Consider the following 22,348-nt stretch of genomic DNA (forward strand, 5'->3'; position numbering starts at 1 on the left):
GAAATAGAAATACAGAATGTGTCCTTACTCAGCTTGCTTACTAGTTAAATGCAAACTATACAGTGCCCCAATTAAATCTTTTCTTTTCTGCCAATTCCCACTTCCAAATCTCAAAGAGCAAACAAACTGGAGGGATAAGTGAAACTGAGAATGTGTGAATAAAAAAATAATTGGAGCCGGGCACAGTGGCTCACGCCTGTAATCCCAGCACTTTGAGAGGCCGAGGAGGGAGGATCACTGGAGTTCAGGAGTTCCAGATTACCCTGGTCAACGTGGCAAAACCTCACCTCTATAAAAAAAGTATAAAAATTGGCCGCACGCAGTGGTTCATGCCTGTAATCCCAGCACTTTGGGAGACCGAGGCAGACGGATCACCTGAGGTCAGGAGTTCGAGACCAACCTGACCAACATGAAGAAACTGCATCTCTACTAAAAATACAAAATTAGCTGGTCATGGTGGCTCATGCCTGTAATCCCAGCTACTCAGGAGGCTGAGAGAAGAGAGCCTCTCAGCTTGAACCCGGGAGGCGGAGGTTGCGGTGAGCCAAGATCGCGCCATTGCACGCCAGCCTGGGCAACAAGAGCGAAACTGTCTCAAAAAAAAAAAAAAAAAAAAAATTAATTGGGCATGGTGGCATGGGTCTATATTCCCAGCTACTTGGAGGGCTGAAGTGAGAGGATGGCTTAAGCTCAGAAGGTTGAAGCTGCAATGAGCCGTGTTCTTGCCACTGCACTCCAGCCTGACTGACAAAGCGAGACCCTATCTCAACAACAACCACAAAAATAATGATAATTTCCAGAGACCCTATCTCAAAAATAACAAAAGGAATAAAAATTTACATTCCTTTTTCCTTCTACCTCAATGCTGATGTTACTTTCTGAGTATATATCAATTACTTTACAGTAGTTACAATTATAACAGTCCTCCCATTTTAGATTGTACTTTTATATAGACATAAATATGGATTGAAATTTTAAAATGCAAAATAAAATTGTTCTGAATATGAAACAAAAAATATCCAACATATACCAAAGTAAAATTTCTTTGCAGATAGCCACACACAAATAAATTTCCCCACTACTTTAAGAAGAATAAAATTTCATTAAAATTTTCTAAGCTAAGCTGCACCTTAATGGAATACATTTGTAAAGTTTTTTTTTTTTTTTTTTTTGAGACGAAGTCTAGCTCTATCACCCAGGCTGGAGTGCAGTGGCAAGATCTCAACTCACTGCAACCTCCACCTCCCAGGTTCAAGCAATACTCCTGCCTCAGCCTCTAAGATTGCCTAGAGGAGCTAGGATTGCCTGTAACTAGGATTGCCTGCTACCATGCCCGGCTAACTTTTGTATTTTTAGTAGAGACGGGGTTGTACCATGTTGGTCAGGCTCGAACTCCTGACCTCAAGTGATCCGCCTGCCTCGGTCTACCAAACTGCTGGGATTACAGGTGTGAGCCGCAGCGCCCAGCCCATTTGTGAAATTTTCTTACCAGTATTCTCGAACTCCTGACCTGAAGTGATCCGCCTGCCTCAGCCTACCAAATTGCTGGGATTACAGGTGTGAGCCGCAGCGCCCAGCCCATTTGTGAAATTTTCTTACCAGTATTCTTGAATACTACATGAGTTGGTCTATCCTTCATTACAAGATCCAAAGCTGACAAGCCTTCTTTATCTTGAATATACAGACTAACACCATGCTAAAACAAACAAACAAACAAATACATAAATATATATATATTATTAATTACCTATATCATCAGTAACTTCCTATTTTATTATTATTTTTTTTTTTTTGAGACAGAATTTCGCTCTTGTTGCCCAGGCTGGAGTGATGCAATGGCGCAATCTTGGCTCACCGCAACCTCCACCTCCCAGGTTCAAGCAATTCTCTTGCCTCAGCCTCCCAAGTAGCTGGGATTACAGGCATCCACCACCACGCCCGGCTAATTTTCTATTTTTAGTAGAGACAGGGTTTCTCCATGTTGGTCAGGATGGTCTCGACCTCTGACCTCAGGTGATCCACCTGCTTTGGCCTCCCAAAGTGCTGGGATTACAGGCTGAGCCACCACACCTGGCCGACTTCCTATTCTTATGTATCAAAAAGTCAGATAATCAACCCCATAAATACACTGAAAAAAAATTTAATAATGATTATCTCTCATATTCACACACATTTTTCTCTCACATACTGCAGAGAATAATTAAGAAAAATCACATATCCGACTCTTGCTGGAATAAGGAAGAATCAGAAAATGTGAAGAAATAAAAAATTAACATTTTAAATAAAAATTAACTACATGTGAACTTTTTTTTGCAGGGGGGACGGAATCTCGCCTTTGTCGCCCAGGCTGGAGTGCAAAGGCACGATCTCAGTTCACAGTAACCTCCGCCTCCCAGGTTCAAACAATTCTCCTGACTCAGCCTCCCGAGTAGCTGGGATTACAGGTGCCCACCACCATACCCGGCTAATTTTTGTATTTTTAGTAGAGATGGGGTTTCACCATGTTGGCCAGGCTGGCCTCGGACTCCTGACCTCGTGATCAGCCCGCCTCAGCCTCCCAAAGTGCTGGGATTACAGGTGTGAGCCACCGTTCCCGGCCATGTGAACATTTTTAACAATAAAGCATTTCTGATACCCCTTTAATACCCCATAAATACACTGTCCCTACAAGTCCCTAGCTCTGGGTTTGTGTCTGTGTGGGAGTGCATCTGAACATAAACATTTAACTCTTCTTGCATTTGAGGAGCCACACTCTGCCGGGCGCAGTGGCTCATGACTATAATCCCAGCACTTTGGGAGGTGGGTGGATGAATCGCCTGAGGTCAGGAGTTCAACGTCAGCCTGGCCAACATGCTGAAACCCCATCTGTAGTAAAAATACAAAAATTAGTCAGGTGTGGTGGTGCATGCCTATAATCCCAGCTACCTGGGAGGCTGAGGCAGAAGAATCACTTGAACCCGGGACACAGAGGTTGCAGTGAACCGAGATCGCGCCACTGCACTCCAGCCTGGGCAACAAGAGTGAAACTCCGTCTCAAAAAAACAAAAAAAAATTATCTGGAGAAGGAGAGACATAAAATTTCAAATCAGTTTATTTAGTTTATACTTACTCTATTTTAGTTTGAGGAATTTTTTCTTATTTATAATTTGACAGTTAATTGTTGATGACCTGTTTATTCTGCGAGGTATCTGATATCCCTTCAATATATTTTGTTTATGTTACCATAGTTGGTTCCAGTTGCAGGCAAAAATAACTCTAATACATCAATATTTATCAAGCATGTTCCTATTTGTTCATTAATTTTTGTTGTTATTGTTTTTTTTGGTTTTTTTGAGACGGAGTCTTGCTCTGTCACCCAGGCTGGAGTGCAATGGCGTGACCTCGGCTCACTGCAACCTCCATCTCCTGGGTTCAAGCGATTCTCCTGCCGCAGCCTCCCCCGTAGCTGGGATTACAGGCATGTGCCACCACGCCCAGCTACTTTTTGTATTTTTAGTAGAGATGAGGTTTTGCCATGTTGCCCAGGCTGGTTTCGAACTCCTGACCTCAGGTGATCTGCCCGCCTTGGCCTCCCAAAGTGCTGGAATTACAGTTGTGAGCCACCATGCCCGGCCATTGTTCATTAATTTAATTGCTTGGTTTTGGTTTTGGTCTATCTCCCCCTAGTAGAATAAAAACTTAAACAAAGAAGGGATTCTGTCTTGTTCACTGCAATATCCCTAGCACCTGGATTACTGCCTGGCACATATCAGGCACTCAAAAAATATTTGTTCCAAATACCTCACAGACAGTATATTATTTAATCCATATAACCTATGATTCTGTGAAGTCTTCTGTTTACAAATGGGAAAAATTAAAGCAAGTTCTTCCAGAATAGTAAGTAAACCACCAGTATAAAAGAGCAATGGTTTAGCAACAACAGATACAGCAGGACTCCACAAGCATAAACAGTCTTTACCAGCCATGCATCCTGTCATGGAATCAAGAAGCCCCAAAAGAGCTACATAAGATAATCTGTCTCTATTCCAGCTTTTTGTAGGCAACAAGTTTCTGCTAAGGTTTTATATCTTTGGCATTAAGAAACTGACAATTTACTGTGCAATTTACAAATGTTATAGCTATGAAGTTTTATCAAATTTAAATTCATTAAAATGTGTGTGGTTTCTTCCTGATAATCCATAATACCTGAAGTGCTACAGCTGACATCAGAGACGGAACTGACATGAAGACACCTATCACTGCACCCCTTCCAATTAAAGAAGTGTTGGAAGGTCAAAGTAAAAAAATATGCTGAACAAAAGCAGACAGCCTACCAACATGAGAATGCTGAATGGTTAATACAGGATTTAGGGGAAAACCGTCAGTGGAATACATCCACTGTTATGTATCTATCACTGATCAGCAGGGCTCTGATGCCAATAAGACAGTCAAGCTAAGGGCAAGGTGACAACGGCACAATTTCCTGGCTTCTATTAGCCAAGGTGGCTAGAGTGACTGAGGATTTCGATGGGGCAATAAAATCTCACAGGAAGGAAAGGACCAAAATTCAGTCCAGACCATAACTATTTCAAACTGTAGCCCTAAATGCTAACACCTAAATGGCAACCCCTAGGATGGCAGGAAACCCAAACCCAGGGACCTTCTCAAACTCAGCAGGGTTGGCAGTCATCCAACTTTCCAGCAGAAACTGAAAAAAAAAAAGCCAAGGTTTTACAGATGGAAAAGGGTAAGAATGGAGCTGAGAGATGCTTTAACTCTTACTAACCTAGCTTTCCCTATAATGACAATAAGGGAATTAAACAGATACCCCAAGGTTTCAGATATAAGAGGAATCTTCTCTACCATTAACAAACTTAAAAATGCTTTACTTCATGGATAGTCCCTGGGGGGGAAAAAAAAAGGAAAGTGCTATTATTACTCTCTTTTTATAGATAAAACTGAAGTTCAAGATTTAATAATTTGTCCACGATGATTCACTAAGTAGTAGTAGTAGCAGCAGCAGCAGCAGCAGCAGCAGTAGTAGTAGTAGTAGTGGTGGTGGTAGTAGTACTAGAAGATAGTAGTAGTAGTAGCAGTAGTAGTAGTAGTAGAAGATAGTAGTGGTAGTAGTAGTAGTAGTAGTAGTAGTAGTAGTAGCAGTAATAGTAGAAGATCAGTAGGGAGTTTAACTCCACAAAAGAATATTTTACTATTACTATATAATAAAAATTATTCTTATCAGTAAATGTTACTACATAAAAGCCACTACAGAAATATTTTTTAAGTCAAAATTAAATGAAGACACTGAAGGTAAGCTTCTGAATTTGACCAGAAGTTCCTTAAGGACCAGAACTGTTTTTTTCTTTTCCAGGTCCTCCACAAACATGACAAAATCCCTATACAAAAAAAATTGTTAAATTTAAGGCCAGACATGGTGGCTCACACCTGTAATCCCTGCACTTTGGGAGGCTGAGGCAGGTGGATCACTTGAGATCAGGAGTTCAAGACCAGCCTGGCCAACATGGGGAAACCCCGTCTCTACTAAAAATACAAAAATAAGCCGGGCACGGTGGCACATGCCTGTAATCTCAGGTATCGGGAAGGCTGGGGCAGGAGAATCACTTGAACCTGGGAGGTGGAGGTTGCAGTGAGCGGAGATCACACCACTGCACTCCAGCCTGGGTAACAAAGCAAGACTCCGTCGCAAAAAAAAATAATAATAAAAATAAAATAAAATAAAATTGTTAAATTTAAAACTCATGACTTCTGACAGTGAGTTTCTAATTTGCATTCATTAGTGAAATGACATTGGGGTGTATTTCAAAACGCTTTATTATTTGCCTATTCAATACAACACACCTAATCTACTAGAAAGAAAATTTTATATAAATTAAACAATTTTAATGATTTTTTTTTTGAGATGGAGTCGTCCTCGGTTGCCCAGGCTGAAGTACAATGGTGCGATCTCAGCTTACAGCAACCGCCGCCTCCTGGGTTCAAGTGATTCTCCTGCCTCAGCCTCCCAAGTAGCTAGGATTACAGGCATGTGCCACCACACCCAGCTAATAATTTTTGTATTTTTAGAAGAGACAGGGCTTCACCATGTTGGCCAGGCTAGTCTTGAACTCCTGATCTCAGGTGATCCACCTGCCTTTGCCTCCAAGAGTGCTGAGATTACAGGCGTGAGCCACCGCGCCTGGCCATCAATTTCTTTTTTTGAGACAGAGTCTCACTCTGTCGCCTAGGCTGGAGTGCAGTGACACGATCTTGGCAAACTGCAACCTCTGCCTCCTGGGCTTAGCTGATTCTAATGCCTCAGTCTCCCAAGTAGCTAAGACTACAAGCACACGCCACTACACCTGGCTAATTTTTGTATTTTTAGTAGAGATGGCGTTTTACTATGTTGGCCAGGCTTGTCTCGAACTCATAACCTCAAGTGATCGGCCCACCTCGGCCTCCAAAGTGCTAGGATTACAGCATGAGCCACCACACCTGGCCTCATCAGTTTCTTTAGAGCTTATAAACACCGTATGTTAACTAAACAAGAAATGAAACATACTACTCAAAAACACAATTCCTAAATAATGTTCAACAACTACTGCCCTTTTAAAGTTAATAATAGGCTGGGCATGGTGGCTCATGCCTGTAATCCCAGCACTTTGGGAGGCCGAGGTGGGTGGATCACGAGGTCAGGAGATCGAGACCATCCTGGCTAACACGGTGAAACCCCATCTCTACTAAAAAAATACAAAAAATTAGCCAGGCGTGGTGGTGGGTGCCTGTAGTCCCAGCTACTTGGGAGGCTGGGGCAGGAGAATGGTGTGAACCCGGGAGGCGGAGCTTGCCATGATCCGAGATCAGGGGCCACAGCACTCCAGCCTCGGCGACAGAGCGAAACTCCATCTCAAAAACATAAATAAATAAAATAAAGTTAATAATATAGTTATTTAAGAATAAATCATTTTAAAATACTAAAAGATATTGTTACAAAAATACTAATTGAGATGCCATTAGACTGGGGCAACTCTAGCACTTTAAGTTTATCCATAAGTAAACACACAGCCAGTAAACAGTAAAATGAAACTAGAGTCTTTACCAATCAGAAACCACCAACTAACCTCTAACTAGGGTCTTTCCACTCTAACCAATTAAATATATTTTCTTTGTCTTTATTCTGCATCGGCCTATAAAAGCTCACTGCTCAGGCTGCAGCACAGCTCTCTGAGCCTCTTCTGGTTCTGAATGCTGCCCGATTCATAAATCATTCTTTGTGCAAATAAATTGTGCTTACTTAATGTAAAGTATTTCTTTTAATAATGTATAATACTCATTAAATGATGTATGGGATTTAGTTCAAAATATTATGAGATGTACAAATAACACAAAATTGGCCAACAGTTCATTATATATAGTAAGCATGATAAATGTTTAAAATTTTACATCACAAAAAAGTTAAGTAAAAGGATATATGGAGTTTTAATTCCAAAGATCAGTTACAGTAGTAAGAGATAGCAAACAAGCAAGAAAAAATGCAAATATTTTCCAAAAAGCATGTAGGATGTATGAAAATGATTAAGAAAAACATATTCCAGACTAAATACGTTTAAAATAAACAAATGACAATTACCTTCAATAGAGACCAAACACAATCAATATGTCCATAAAAAATGCTTCTGTGCAATGCTGTCCATCCAGACTCTTTGTCTTTCACCAACAGATCCACTCCTTTCTGAATAAGCCAATCTAACACTCCTTTCTTTCCACAGGAGGAAACAAGGTGGAGGGCATTCCTGCCAAAAACATCCTTGATAGTTGCAGCATTGTAACAATGACTGGAGAGAAAGGCCTTAATCTGGTTTTCGCTCCCCTTTGTTACCACAGAAAGGACATCCAAAGCATGCTTCAGGGATCGACACTTTGATGTGCAGTCAGGCATGGGTGAACTCATCCTAACTGTTTTTATACCACTTACTTCAGAATCGTGAAAACTAATTTTAAAAAATGAAAAAGCCAGGACACAAAGGTGCTATTGAGGAAGTTACAGAGAATAAATTACCTTTTTAGGATAATTTAAATCCTCCTGACAATAGTATAAAACTATATATCTTTATACAATTTTTTGGCACTTAAATCAAAAAAATTATAAATAGCTCTATAAAGTTCATATCAAATACAAGTTCTTCATTTAAAAAAATTCCACAGTTTATAAATTATTCCTGGAGTCAAGCACCAAGGGGGAGTGAGGAGGGGAACTCCCCCTCCACACTGTCTGACCCTTTTAAATATCCATAATTGCAAGGGTGACCTATAAGAGAAAGAGAAGAGAAAATAAAAATTCAAAATCTGTCTCTCGCTCTCCTTGAGTACTTTAGAACACAACTACCTCCATATTTAGATGCCCTTAACCCATTTATGCTTAGTGTTCCATTACTGGAACACTAAGCTTACGGGAGTTATTTATATCCTAATGCTCAAGGTCATCGCCAAGATCTGATTTTTCACAAAAAACATTTGCAACCTCTGGCATAAACGGGTTAATTCCTTTTTTTTCTTAAATCTATCGACCTTTCATATTTATGGTACCTATATTTTTATCAGTCATCCTTACTCCATTTTTCCACTCTCATGTTTAAAGTTAACCCACATTGGTTGTACTCTGGAGTTTCTCTTTCTTTCCAGTCCTTCATTCCTTCTATGCTGTATTTTTACACTCTACTAGTTATGTCCCCACAAGCTATGAATACGCTTAAATCTACCATCTTTCTAAGAATCCCATCCCAAACCTATACCCCCTAAAACTGTATCATCACCACCAACACAACAATAACCAACACTCTCATCAGTTACTCCGTTTTTACTAAGTACCCAGGCACTGTGTTAATATTGTTACCTCTGCCTGAAAAGTCCTTCATCACATGAAGAGATGATAATTAAACAAAGGTATTAAAACAACTGGATAGCTATCTTTAAAAAACAACTTTAGATACGGTACTTACTTTATATCTTATACCAATATAAATTCTAGATGGTTCAAAGGCAAACAAAAAAACGAAACTACAAAAGCACTGGATGAAAATACAAAAGACTCTTTTTTTATAATCACAAAGTACAAAACACCTTTCTAAGCAGGATCTGAAATCCGAAAGTCATAAAAGATTAATTCAATAGTTTAAAAATTACATTAAAAAGTTTAAAGACAAAAGGAGAAAAATTTGCCTCAATATATATGGTCTTTTAGATCTTCCTTAATGTGTAGTCTTTGGGAGCAGAGAAAATTGGCTATAAGAAGACTATTTAGAAGGACATACTTGAGTTTACTATATGTATAGGGAAAGCTTCTATGCATCAGAGGGAAGTATGAAATATTCTAAATCTGTATTTTTCCACTCCCACTTCATACCACACCAAAGAGTCAGAAATCTGAGATCTAACTAGTTTTCTGATCTTAACTACTTTGATTTCTCCACCTGGAAACTAGATGATTATAATCTTCTCTATTAGGTTGGTACAAAAGTAGTTGCAGATTTTGCTAGTAAAAGTAATGGCAATGGCCAGGCGCAGTGGCTCATGCCTGTAATCCCAGCACTTTGGGAGGCCGAGGCGGGCAGATCACCTGAGGTTGGGAGTTTGAGACCAGCCTGACCAACCTGGAGAAACCCTATCTCTATTAAAAATACAAAATTAGCCAGGCGTGGTGGCACATGCCTGTAATCTCAGCTACTCGAGAGGCTGAGGCAGGAGAATCGCTTGAACCCAGGAGGCAGAGTTTGTGGTGAACCAAGATCACACCATTGCACTCCAGCCTGGGCAACAAGAGCAAAACTCTGTATCAAAAAAAAAAAAAAATTAATGGCAATTACTTTTAAGAATCCAATCCCAAACCTATACCCCCTAAAACTATATCACCACCACCAACACAACAACCAACCCTCTAAAAGTAATGGCGATTATTTTTAATGGCAAAACCTACAATTACTTTTGTACCAACTTAATAGCTCCAGATCTGTTCTACTAATACATTCTGTAATTTGATATAGTCCTCATAAAAATCATCTCCCCCTTAAAACACTGATTTGAACAACAGCAACAAAAAGAACAAGATAAAACAAATAAAAATGTGTTTGGGGGCCGAGCACGGTGGCTCACGTCTGTAATCCCAGCACTTTGGGAGGCCGGGGTGGGCGGACCATGAGGTCAAAAGATCAAGACAATCCTGGCCAAGATGGTGAAACCCCATCTCTACTAAAAATACAAAAATTAGCTGGCCACACTCCTGTAATCCCAGCTACTTGGGAGGCTGAGGCAGGAGAAATGCTTGAACCCAGGAGGTGGAGGCTGCAGTGAGCCGAGATCCCGCCACCGCACTCCAGTCTGGTGACAAAGCAAGACTCTGTCTCAAAAACAAAACAAAACAAAACAAAAGACGGGCACGGTGGCTCATGCCTGTAAACCCAGCACTTTGGGAGGCCAAGGCAGGCGAATCACGAGGTCAGGAGATCAAGACCATCCTGGCTAACACGGTGAAACCTCGTCTCTACTAAAAATACAAAAAATTAGCCGGGTGTGGTGGCGGGCGCCTGTAGTCCCAGCTACTTGGGAGGCTGAGGCAGGAGAATGGCGTGAACCTGGGAGGCGGAGCTTGCAGTGAGCCGAGATCGTGCCACTGCACTCCAGCCTGGGCGACAGAGAGACTCTGTCTCAAAAAAAAAAAAAAAAAGTGTTTGGTAGCAAAGAGAAAAAAAGGTACCAATCGTCAAGTACTTTAAAAGGTTAAAAATGGAAAGCATGACACAGTAGTTCCCCATTATCCATTTGCTTTCTATGGTTTCTATTACCCACAATCAACCATAGTCCAAAAATATTAAATGAAAATTTTGGAAATAAACAATTTATGTTTTAAATTGCATACTATTCTGAGCAGTATGATGAAATCTCATAGTGTCCCACTCCAAACCACTCCACCTCACCTGAGACATGAATCATACATTTGTCCAGCATTGCCATACTGTACATGCTACCAACTCGATAGTCACTGAGTAGCCCTCTTGGTTAGCAAATTGTAAAAACATAGCATATATAGGGTTCAGTACTCTCTGCAGTTTCAGGCATCCACTGGGGGTTTTAGAATGTGTCCTTGGATAAGTAGGGACTATTTATTGTATGTGGCAAAATAGTTCATCCAGTTAATTTCATTCTTTTAAAGCTCTAAAATCCCACCATGTTTGTATTTTCATTGTATGCATAATACCTGGAAGGAACTACTTACTGGTGAATCACTCAAACCTTACATTAAAGAATTAAGATACAACAGAAAAGAATTCCCTAATTCATTAGTATATATAATGTAAACATTTAAAGGGGGGAAAAAAGAATGTTAAAAAGTCATTCCATACTATCATATAGAGAAAGCGGCACCTACAGAATACTATGAACATAAACATGGAAGCGATTAAGAGCTAGGATTTCTTAGAGTTTTACATACATAGATTCAAATATAGCAATGTCAGCTGTTATCAGTTATATAACTAAAAAATGACATAATCTCTCCAAGTCGTTTCTTCATCTGAAAATAGAAACAATCCATGGACTTCACATGGTTACTATAATGATAAATGAAACTACCTAACATGGTACCTGGCACTAAATATGCATTCGACAAATAATAGTTTTCATTACTATTGTTTCTTCAGTCATAAAAAGGTAATACATTTTAACTCCAAAATTCATGTTTGAGCTTCATTATCACTTGTTACCACTTCTCCAAAGAAATCATTATTGCTAAAGTTACTAATGACTTCCAAATTACCAAACACTTTTAGATATTTTCAATTCTTACTTGCCTTCCCTGCTTTTATGTCTTTAAAACCTCATTCCCTTAAGGAGTCTAAAAGAGATCCAGGAAGGGCAGGAAGTCGCAGAAACATTTAAGCATGGGCTCTCTCTCTTAACCACTTCTTCCTAGGGCATTATCGCTTCCCCTGTCCTTCAAACTGGGCTTCTCTGAAATAATCCTCAGTCCTCTACTTCATATTGTTCCTGATAGTTTCAATCCTTTTCATGCTTTTAACTCTACCGTACACATGATTATAAATCCCCAAATCTGTCTCTTGCTCACATATTTGCCCTAAACTCCAGGCCCATATTTCCAATGCCTATTGTACTTCTTATCTATGCATTCAAAAACTGCTTAAAGAAGGGGAAGAAAGCAAAGGAAATAAGCATTTAAAGACCTAATACATACGGAATGCTTTACATCAGACCAGTCAAGTAAACCACCTAAATCATACCACCAAGAAAAGAGGGAGTCAGACTTCAAATACAGATCTGTTTAATGATGAGGTCCGTGCTATTTCTGCTACGTTACACTGTCTTCTTCAGCGCATCCATAGTAGGTCACAAGGCATTGGGAATACAAAAATAATTAGGACCTAAATATTTTAGATAAAATAAAATACAGGTTCATGGATAATACTCAGGTGGATGCATAGCTAGTTTAACATATGTACTAACTGAACAAAACTTATGATCTATTACACAGTTCCTATTATCAAAGGGTCACAGTTTGGTAGAAGAGAGTAATTTTATTTAGGCAAGTAACTAAAACATATCATAATTATAAACCTATGGTCAAGATAAAACAAGTGACACATAGGAACGGGGAGTGCAGAAGAGGGGTCCAGGTAAGACTTTCTACAGGAGATAAACTATGTATAAACTAAGACTTAAAAGATGAGTACTGGCCAGGCACAGTGGCTCATGCCTGTAGTCCCAACACTTTGTTAGGCTGAGGCAGGCAAATCACTTGAGCCCAGGACTTTGAAATCAGCCTGGGCAACATGGTGAAAGCCATCGCTACAAAAAAAAATACAAAAATTAGGCGTAGTGGCACATCCCTGTAGTCCCAACTACTCTGGAGGCTGAGGTGGGAGGATCACTTAAAACTGGTCAGTCAAGGCTGCAGAGAGCCAAGATCATGCAACTGCACTCCAGCCTGAGCGACTGAGCGAGACTCCTTCTAAAAAAAAAAAGAGTACCATATGTGTTGGCCTGATAAATTCTGGGTGAGAGCACATTTGAAGCAGAAGGGATAGTAAATATAAAAGAACTAGAATCATCTTGGTCCATTCCAAAATTTCTAAATAATTCAGAAGACAGAAAGAAGTGAGGCCTAACATACACACAAGGATAGACAGGATTTTGAACAGCCTTATGTGCCTTTTCTTAGAGATTTAAAAAAAAAAGGGCAGGCAATCCAAAGACATACTTAGGATCTTGAATTGACAAGATGTGGTGGTAATTCCCAGGTTTCTGGCTTGGAGAACAGATAGGGAAACTAGAAAGAAGAGTAAGGGGTCAATACTTTGGAAGTGAGTAAAGCAAAACAAAATTAAACAACGGAAAAAACACACAAAAATTATAGGTGAAATTTTGTTTTATACATTATACACAGTGCTCTACATAAATATAATCCTTATTATTGCCCCTGTAAATATGATCACTTTCATTTTCTGATGAGGAGATTCATGTGAAAGTTTAAAAAGCCTACCTAAAATAATACCGACAGAAAAGTGCTCTTGATCCCACCTATTCTATGCTACCAAACTGCTCTCCCAAAAGGCAGTTAGAAAAATTTCAATGCAAGTAGTATAGTGTAGTAGAAAAAAGTACCATGGAATTCAATTCAAAATAATTGAATTCAAAAGCAGTTTGGTAGGGCAGCTGGAGACTCAAGCGATTCTGCCTCAGCCTCCCGAGTAGCTGGGATTACAGGCACACATCACCATGCCTGGCTGATTTTTTTGTATTTTTGGTAGAGACGGGGTTTCACCAAGTTGGCCTCGAACTCCTGACCTCAAGTGATCCGCCCACCTTGGCCTCCCAGACTGCTGGGATTACAGGCATCTTTTTTTTTTTTTTTTTTTTTGAGATGGTGCCACACTCAGTCGCCCAGGATGGAGTGCAGCGGCGCGATCTCGGCTCACTGCAACCTCCACCTCCCGGGTTCAAGCAATTCTCAGCCTCCCCAGTAGCTGGGATTACAGGCGTGAGCCACCGCGCCCGGCCTAAAAAATTTCTTGAAGTAAACTCTGGTTTGACTAAAGCTTCTGCAAATATTTGCAAATGTAATTATTTTTAGAAACCAGTTTTGTCCTCATCTACCTTGCCTCAATTTCTAAAACAAATAAAAGTTAAGGAATTCAAAATACAAAAAGAGAAATGATCAAGAGGGGGCTGGCAAGCCTGTGAATTTACACCACTTTATGGGCACTGAAACACTACTACTCATAAAAGTCATATCCTTTCAGTATTTCTGATAAATTTCAAATGGCCTACTTCGAGGCATAAGTTAAAAGGTGCTACATGAATCTCTGGCTAACACAGTCAAGTTTTATGAACTACGTTGGAAAACAGGAGTCAAGGACGGCCTATGTTACCTAATTCGCAGCTGAACTAAAACTCTTTGAGCCAGACAGCTCTGCCTGTTACAAAAACAAAGGGCCTGTCTTCTCTGTCTCTCTCAACCCTCCACCCTCCAAAAAGAATCAGTTCCTTTTTACATAGCAATCAATGTCCACTTATCAGATTTCACGACCTGCTTCCCCAGAGTCAGTATCCCCAGGGTGGACTCAAACTTGTGACTCCAGGAAGGGGATAAGGAACATGAGCGCCCACAGGAATGGCTTCAAATCCAAGACTCGAAGGAAAGTGACACTACATAACTATCACAACTAGGAATGCAATGTCGCTGGAGGGCGTGTCCAGCAGGACGGGAGCGTAGCGCATCGCCGGGACAGGCCATTCATTAGCTGAGGGGGGCGGTAGGGACCCTGGCCACTCGGCCCTCTCCGCGCCGCCTCGCGCGAAGCCCGGCAGCCTCGGGGCCACAGAGTCCCCTCCCCACGGTCCCCCCGCGCCGCCGTCCGCAGCCACCCGCACCCTCCAGAAGGCGAATACTCTCCCCCTGCCCCCGGGCTGAAGGGAAGCCGCACCGCACGGTCGGGCAGCGCCAAGCCCTCCCTCACCAGTCGCTAGATGAAACTGCGCCGGTGGATTCCGCAGGGTCCACATAGAGCCACAAAGGGACTCATCCTCAGTGAAGGCAATAAGAGAAACCGAACGGCGCCAGAGGGGCCAGTCCCCAGACCCGGGTCAGTTCGGCAGGCGGCTGCAATACAGCCGCTACTACAGGAATCGGGAACGGGGATGTAGAGGAAGGGCCCGAGCGGGCGGTTCCCAGTAATAAGGCGGGCGCTGGTTGGCTGGGGCTCCTGTATGTCTCTTGATGATTGGCTGGTGCCTGCCCAGAAGGTTTCGCGTGGCAGCACCTCTGCCATGGCCTTTTCCCTGGCGCCCCAAAGGAACTTGACCTCGCCGGCCTTGGGGCCGCTGACTCAGGCCAGGGGCGGGGAAAAGAAAAAGGCCGCAGCGGGGAACTCTAGGCCAACAACGGTGATGGGAGTGTCCCTTTCAGGCCAGCCATCTCGTAGTTAGAAACGTCTCTCTAGGTAGCTGGAGACTCGCGGGGGAGGCTAAACCCGAGTGGAGAAGGAGACCTGGCAGGATGCCTTGGACACCCGGTCGCTACGCAGCAGAAGCCAAGTGCATAGGCGTCCTGCACAGAAGAGTTTCCTCCCATGGCCTTAGCAGTGGGGTTACTGCAAAGCCAAAGGTGTAGTCTCCGTAAACCCAGCCTCACCCCTCTCTGGATCTCCATACACCCGGATTATCTGGCAGTCACTCCCTTGGTCAGAAGGCGTCACTGCCCTCTTAGATCACCACCGTAGGACTAGCTGCCGACCCGGGTCACGCCACTCACTGCCTGACACCAGGCTTACACTAGGCTTTTTCCACTTGAACTCTGAATCTAAAGGCCATTTAGAAAGTGGTCAAGTGAAAAATGCTAGGAGGGACAGTAGCCAATAATCAATACTAGGTTACTGAATGGGAAACACACTGCTGCTGAATGCCTAATACGGTAAGCACTCAGTAAATGATTGTTCAAGGAGGTGTAGTGTGACTCAAAACAAACGACACTAAGAATCATGAGTTGGCTGTACAGCTCTGCCACGTTGAGTTTTACAAGCCACTGAGTCGACCTCATCTAATCTCTAAAAGAAAGGAGTTGCGCATGTCTTAATGCCCACTGAGCTCTGCTTGCTCTCTTTTGAAGCCTTTTTTGTGGGAGGGTAGGTTACTAGCCCAAAGCCACACAGCTGCTTAGCGAAAGAGAAAGGGAGACTAGGACCCAGCCCTCCTACTGCCCTTCCCAGCACATAATTGTTTCTTTGCTCTTTATTCTTAATGTCCTTCTACAAAACAAAAACCAGTTTGTAATGTCAAAATTGAGTGGTTTTGAAAATAAGCTTAAGTTGGCCGGGCGCGGTGGCTCACGCCTGTAATCCCAGCAATGTGGGAGGCCGAGGCGGGCGGATCACGAGGTCAGGAGATCGAGACCATCCTGGCTAACACGGTAAAACCCCACCTCTACTAAAAAAATACAAAAAATTAGCTGGGCGTGGTGGCAAGTGCCTGTAGTCCCAGCTGCTGGGGAGGCTGAGGCAGGAGAATGGCGTGAACCCGGGAGGCGGAGCTTGAAGTGAGCCCAGATCGAGCCACTGCACTCCAGCCTGGGTGACAGTGAGACTCCGTCTCAAAAAAAAAAAAAAAAAAGAAAGAAAATAAGCTTAAGTTGTATCTCCAGATATTTAAAAAAAGAAGCTACATATAATGACTTTCATATTCATGAACAAAGAAGCCAATAATGGCAAATAAAGCTGCTAGTGTAAATAAATGCATTGACCTGAGTTCGTAACTTCTCTCTCTTGTATCTGGGCAAGTTAATTCACTTTTCTGAAGCCTCAGTTTCCTCATTTGCAAAATGGGAGAAATAATGTATTTTGGGGTTGTGAAAATGTAATGATAGAGATATATAGCACTTAGCAGAGAGCCTTAGTCACACACAATAATACTTCATAAATAGTGCTAATGAATAAAGTATTTCCTTAGTGGCTGAATTAGTCCAAGCAGGCATTCATTAATTTAAAAGTTACGGCCAGGCAAGGTGAGTCACACCTGTAATACCAGCACTTTGGGAGGCAGAGGCAGGTGGATCATTTGAGCCCAGGATTTCAAGACCAGCCTGGACAACATGGTGAAACCCCGCCTTTACTAAAAATTAAAAAAAAAATTAGGCATGGTGGCGCACGCCTGTGATTCCAGCTACTCAGGAAGCTGAAGTGGGAGAATACCCTGAGCCCTAGGAGATCAAGGCTGCAGTGAGTCAAGATCACGCCGCTGCAACGAGTCAAGATAACGCCACTGCACTCCAGCCTAGGCAACCGGAGTGAGATCCTGTCTCAAAAAATAGTAATAAATAAAAGTTAAAATTACCAGGTCTCGGACAATTTGTGGTAAGCATTGGGGATCCAACAGTGAACAAAAATACATGTAGACCCAGATATTCCCAAGCATAATAAATTGCAACGTTTATAAGTATTAATCTGATAGATTTATCTGACTTCCAAAAGATGTGACACATGAACTAAAGACTGAGCAGAAGATAACTCAGATAACTAGATAACGAGGAGATAAGTAGATGAAGCAGGAAAGAAATAACATTCCAGTCAAAGGAATGTAGAATTGCTCCCCTTTTCCCAGGAAAGTTAGATGCTTTCAAAAGTACTTACTGGTTATTTGCAAGACAAAATATTAAAATAATTAGGAAATAGTACAAATGAAATACAATTAAATGAAAAATATATTGTAGATGTGGTTAAGGGAGGAAGAAATCAAAATGAGCCATTTTGTTTGATTTTTAAAAAAATTTTGTGTTTACACATGAAAGAATAGGTCAAAATATATCTACAATGATTGTTTCTATGGTGGGATTATGGGTGATTCTTAATTTCTATCATTTTGACTTTTGTAATTTTCATTGCAATAATTTAAATATTACTTGAATGATTAAAAAAATCAAAGTTTGGAAAAATAATTGACTAGAGTTTCTAAAGTAGTTTTATTTTTTAAAGTAAAAAATAAAAAAACCAGAGATGACTTTAAAAGATTGCAGTGATGGGCCAGGCACAGTGGCTCATGCCTGTAATCCCAGGAGGCCGAGGCAGGCAGATCACGAGGTCAGCAGATCGAGACCATCCTGGCTAACACGGTGAAACCCCATCTCTACTAAAGAATACAAAAAAAATTAGCCGGGCGCAGTGGCGGGCACCTGTAGTCCCAGCTACTCGGGAGGCTGAGGCAGGAGAATGGCGTGAACCTGGGAGGTGGAGATTGCAGTGGGCCAAGATAGCGCCACTGCACTCCGGCCTGGGTGAAAGAGCGAGACTCTGTCTCAATAAATAAATAAATAAATAAAAAGATTGCAGTGATGGGCGGAGGGAGTAGAAAAAGAATAGTACAGGCATCAAGAGTGGAGCACTGCAGAAATATTTCTAAGCCACATGGCATCTATAATAAACTCCCTAAATACCATTTTTCCAAAATAAATTGGTAGTACTATCCTTTATAATTAAAAGTACTGACATCATTATGTGTATTTTGCTGTCTTTCAAGTTGTATAGGAGTAGGAAATGACAGTGCTGGTGGCAGAAGAGAAAACACTAGAATTTGATTAGAAACCCAAACCTGATTAGGTTCTACAAGAATGATTTTTAGAGGAAGATCAATAGTGCAGCTGGCCTAGAGATGACTGGAACCTTATTGTTTAGCCTCATTCTCTTCTACTCCACACCATCTTCTACAGGACATCACTGGTTGACTACAACTTTCTGGCACACAAATTAAGTACCTCACATAAATCACATATCTCACCTCAGGTTTGCCATTAGGGAAGATAGCACTGAGCCTATTATCTCAAGCACAAAAGTTCTAGGCACCTGACGGACTCATGTCGGCTTGGATTAGGTGAGGAATCAAGGATAACATGATTGACATCCTCTATTAGAGTCATGGTTAAAGCAGAGTGAAGAGTAGTTCCCCAAAAGAAAGCAGGGTGAGGCAGACAAAACAATAGGCCACATAGGGTGTTTGTGTTCTTCTGGATTCAGGTGTATGGTCCCAGCTGCGTTCTTCCTATAGAATCATTATCTTTCCAATCCTTACTTACAGAGGGTCACCTCCCCACATATCTGTGAAGACTTTCCGGATGGCCTTTCCTAGCAATTATTCCCTTTATACTGCTTCTATCACTTAGTCATATAATGTATCACACTGTTTTATTTTTAGATTTGTTAGTTTTACTCCTGGAGACAAGGATTCTAGAGGCAAGGTGCCCAGATATAAAGTTTTACTCCTATGCTTACTATCTGTGAGATGTCAGGCAAGTTACATAAACCCTCTAAGCCTAGTTTCCTCATCTCTGAAATAGGGTTAATAGTATTGCTTTCATAAAGTTCTTAAGAAGTTTAAATGAGATTTTATATATATATATAATATAATGTATATATTATATATATGAAGCTCTTAGTACAACTCTTAGCAACTTAATTGACATAACCTGAAATGAACTGCCTGGATGAATCTGTTTCCACCAAATTAAAGGGTGGGATGGGGAAACAAAGAATAACCCACAAGGTGGCAGTATTTGAATGTAACTTTAGAATCTTATGTTTAAAAGCATAGTCCACCAAAAAAATCTGAAATTCAAGGCAAATACTGGAGAAATTCAAGGTAAATTCAAAGCCTAGATGAAATAAGCAGAACTTTGAGATAAATCAAACTTATAAACTTAACAGGCTTAGTATTCTATTACAATCAGAACACTGAACTCCTAAAAGTCTTCCCTTTACGATGACTGAAAAATGTATCATTTGCCTTTCTCAGCCCATCTTACTGAGAATTGCTCCTATTCCTTTTCTACTTAGCTAAATAATTAAATCTGTGTTGTCACTATTAGAAAGAGAGAGAGAGAAGAAAGAAAAAGAGTGAGTTTGATACATAGTGGTTGGAGCCTTCTCTTCATGCCATAAATCCCTAGGACTGATAGAAAAGACATACTTAGGCCGGGTGTGGGGGCTCACACCTGTAATCCTAGCATTTTGGGAGGCCAAGGCAGGCAGATCACCTAAGGTCAGGAGTTTGAGACCAGCCTGGCCAACATGGTACAACCCCATCTCTATTAAAAATACAAAAATTAGCCGGGCATGGTGGCAGACACCTATAATCCCAGCTACTCGGGAGGTTGAGGCAGGAGAATCACTTCAACCAGGGAGATGGAGGTTGCAATGAGCCAAGATCACACCACTGTACTGCAGCCTGGGCGACAAGAGCAAAACTCTGTCTCAAAAAAAAAAAAAAGAAAAGAAAACATACTTAACATACTTAAACTTATCAGTGCATTGGAAAACAAGAACCTTGGCCATTGAAGGTCCAGAACTTATGAAGAGTCCTTGAAAAGTGGATAAGAGGCTAGATTGGGAAAAAGTAACAGCCTGTGGTGTTGTGATATATATATAGGTTTTCATCCACAGCTCTTGGCTCATAACTCCCATAGCCCTTGTTACAGTCATTTGTTATAAAGTTGGGTATGTTAGACCTCAGGAACAGGCCTCTGACCTTCTCCTGCCCTTCTTCCATAGTTTCCGCACCTTTCTGACTCTGGGTCTTAAGACCCTCCCACGAGAGAGTCCCACCCTATACCCTGCGGGAAGGAATGCTGATGTCCTGAAGCTTCCATAAAAATCCAAGAGGACAGAGTTCATGAGCTTCCAGATAGGTGAACACATGGAAATTCCTGGAGGGTGGCACACACAGGGAGGGCATGGAAACTCCACGTCCCTTCCCTCATACCTCACCCTACGCGTCTCTTCATCTGTATCCTTTGCAATATCCTTTTTAATAAACCAGTAGGCCAGGCGCAGTGGCTCACGTCTGTAATCCCAGCACTTTGGGAGGCCGAGGCAGGCGGATCACCTGATGTCGGGAGTTCGAGACCAGCCTCACCACCATGGAGAAACTCCGTCTCTACTAAAAATACAAAATTAGCCAGGCATGGTGGCAAAAGCCTGTAATCCCAGCTACTCGGGAGGCTGAGGCAGGAGAATCGCTTGAATCCGGGAGGCAGAGGTTGCAATGAGCAGAGATCATGCCATTGCTCTCCAGCCTGGGCAACAAGAGCAAAACTCTGTCTCAAAAAACAAAAACAAAAACAAAAACAAAACAAAAAAACAGTAAATATAATTATTTCCTGAGTTCTTTGAGCCACTCCAGCAAATTAATAGAACTCAAAGAGGGAGTCATGGGAACCCCAACTTGAAGCCAATCAGTCAGGAGTTCCGGAGGTCTGAACTTCTGACTGGTGTAGGGGGATGTCAGAGGTATTTGAACCATAGTGACTCCATCTTGAATAGGGGCTGGGTAAAATGAGGCTGAGATCTGTTGGGCTGCATCCCCAGAAGGTTAGGCAAGAATAGTCACAGGATGAGATAGGAGACTGGCACAAGATACAGGAAGAACCTGCTGATAAAACAGGATGCAGAGTCGGGGAAAAGCGGCTCACGCTTGTAATCCCAGGGATGGGAGGCCGAGGCAGGCAGATCACCTGAGGTCAGGAGGTCAAGACCATCCCAGCCAACATGGTGAAATCCCGTTGCTACTAAAAATACAAAAAAATTAGCCTGGCATGGTGGCAGGTGCCTGTAATTCAGCTACTCAGGAGGCAGAGGCCCACGGAGGTTGTAGTGAGCCAAGATTGTGCCATGGCACTCCATCTCAAAAAAATAAAATAAAATGAAACAAAATACAAAAAATTAGCTGGGTGTGGTGGTGCACTCCATCTCAAAAAATAAAATAAAACAAAATACAAAAAATTAGCTGGGTGTGGCGACACACTCCTATAATCCCAGCTACTCAGGAGGCTGAAGCATGAGAATTGCTTGAGCCTGGGAGGTGGAGGTTGCAGTGAGCCAAGATCACACTCCAGCCTGGACAACAGAGCAAGACTCCGTCTCAAAAAAAGAATAGAAAAGAAATGCATGGAAAAAGATATAAGCACAATAAAGCTGGAGTGGCTATTATAATAGCAGAAAAGCAGATTTGAGACAAAAATTGTTGCCAGTAGCTGGGCGTGGTGGCTCACGCCTGTAATCCCAGCGCTTTGGGAGGCTGAGGTGGGTGGATCACCTGAGGTTGGGAGTTCAAGACCAGCCTGACCAACACGGAGAAACCCTGTCTCTACTAAAAATACAAAATTAGCTAGGCATGGTGGTGCATGCCTATAATCCCAGCTACTCAGGAGGCTGAGGCGGAAGAATCACTTGAACCCGGGAGGCAGAGGTTGTGGTGAGCCGAGATTGCGCCATTGCACTCCAGCCTGGGCAACAAGAGCGAAACTCTGTCTCTAAATAAATAAATA

General features: G+C 41.8%; 1 protein-coding gene across 2 annotated transcripts in view, besides 2 other annotated features; it reads right to left on the minus strand.

The window, feature by feature from the left end:
- IBTK (inhibitor of Bruton tyrosine kinase) overlaps window positions 1-15,185 on the minus strand; it is a 77,758-nt gene extending 62,573 nt beyond the window's left edge. For both annotated transcript variants that reach the window (NM_001300906.2, NM_015525.4), the window contains exons 1-3: window positions 15,003-15,185; window positions 7,607-8,284; window positions 1,600-1,696 (exon numbers count right to left, since the gene is read on the minus strand). In NM_001300906.2, the coding sequence (NP_001287835.1) occupies window positions 1,600-1,696; window positions 7,607-7,927 (418 nt within the window). In that variant the 5' untranslated portion in view covers window positions 7,928-8,284; window positions 15,003-15,185. The remainder of the gene's footprint in view (window positions 1-1,599; window positions 1,697-7,606; window positions 8,285-15,002) is intronic.
- Window positions 7,549-8,066: an enhancer, noted in NCBI's record as "NANOG hESC enhancer chr6:82949825-82950342 (GRCh37/hg19 assembly coordinates)". NCBI's record gives its function as "activates a minimal SCP1, AML or CMV promoter by ChIP-STARR-seq in naive H9 embryonic stem cells {active_cell/tissue: H9 hESC(naive)}" and the evidence as "EXISTENCE:reporter gene assay evidence [ECO:0000049][PMID:30033119]".
- Window positions 14,818-14,987: a silencer, noted in NCBI's record as "silent region_17353". NCBI's record gives its function as "represses an Ori minimal core promoter by ATAC-STARR-seq in GM12878 lymphoblastoid cells {active_cell/tissue: GM12878}" and the evidence as "EXISTENCE:reporter gene assay evidence [ECO:0000049][PMID:35858748]".

The sequence above is a fragment of the Homo sapiens genome, chromosome 6 (genome assembly GCF_000001405.40).
Source record: "Homo sapiens chromosome 6, GRCh38.p14 Primary Assembly".
NCBI classification, from domain to species: Eukaryota; Metazoa; Chordata; class Mammalia; order Primates; family Hominidae; genus Homo; species Homo sapiens.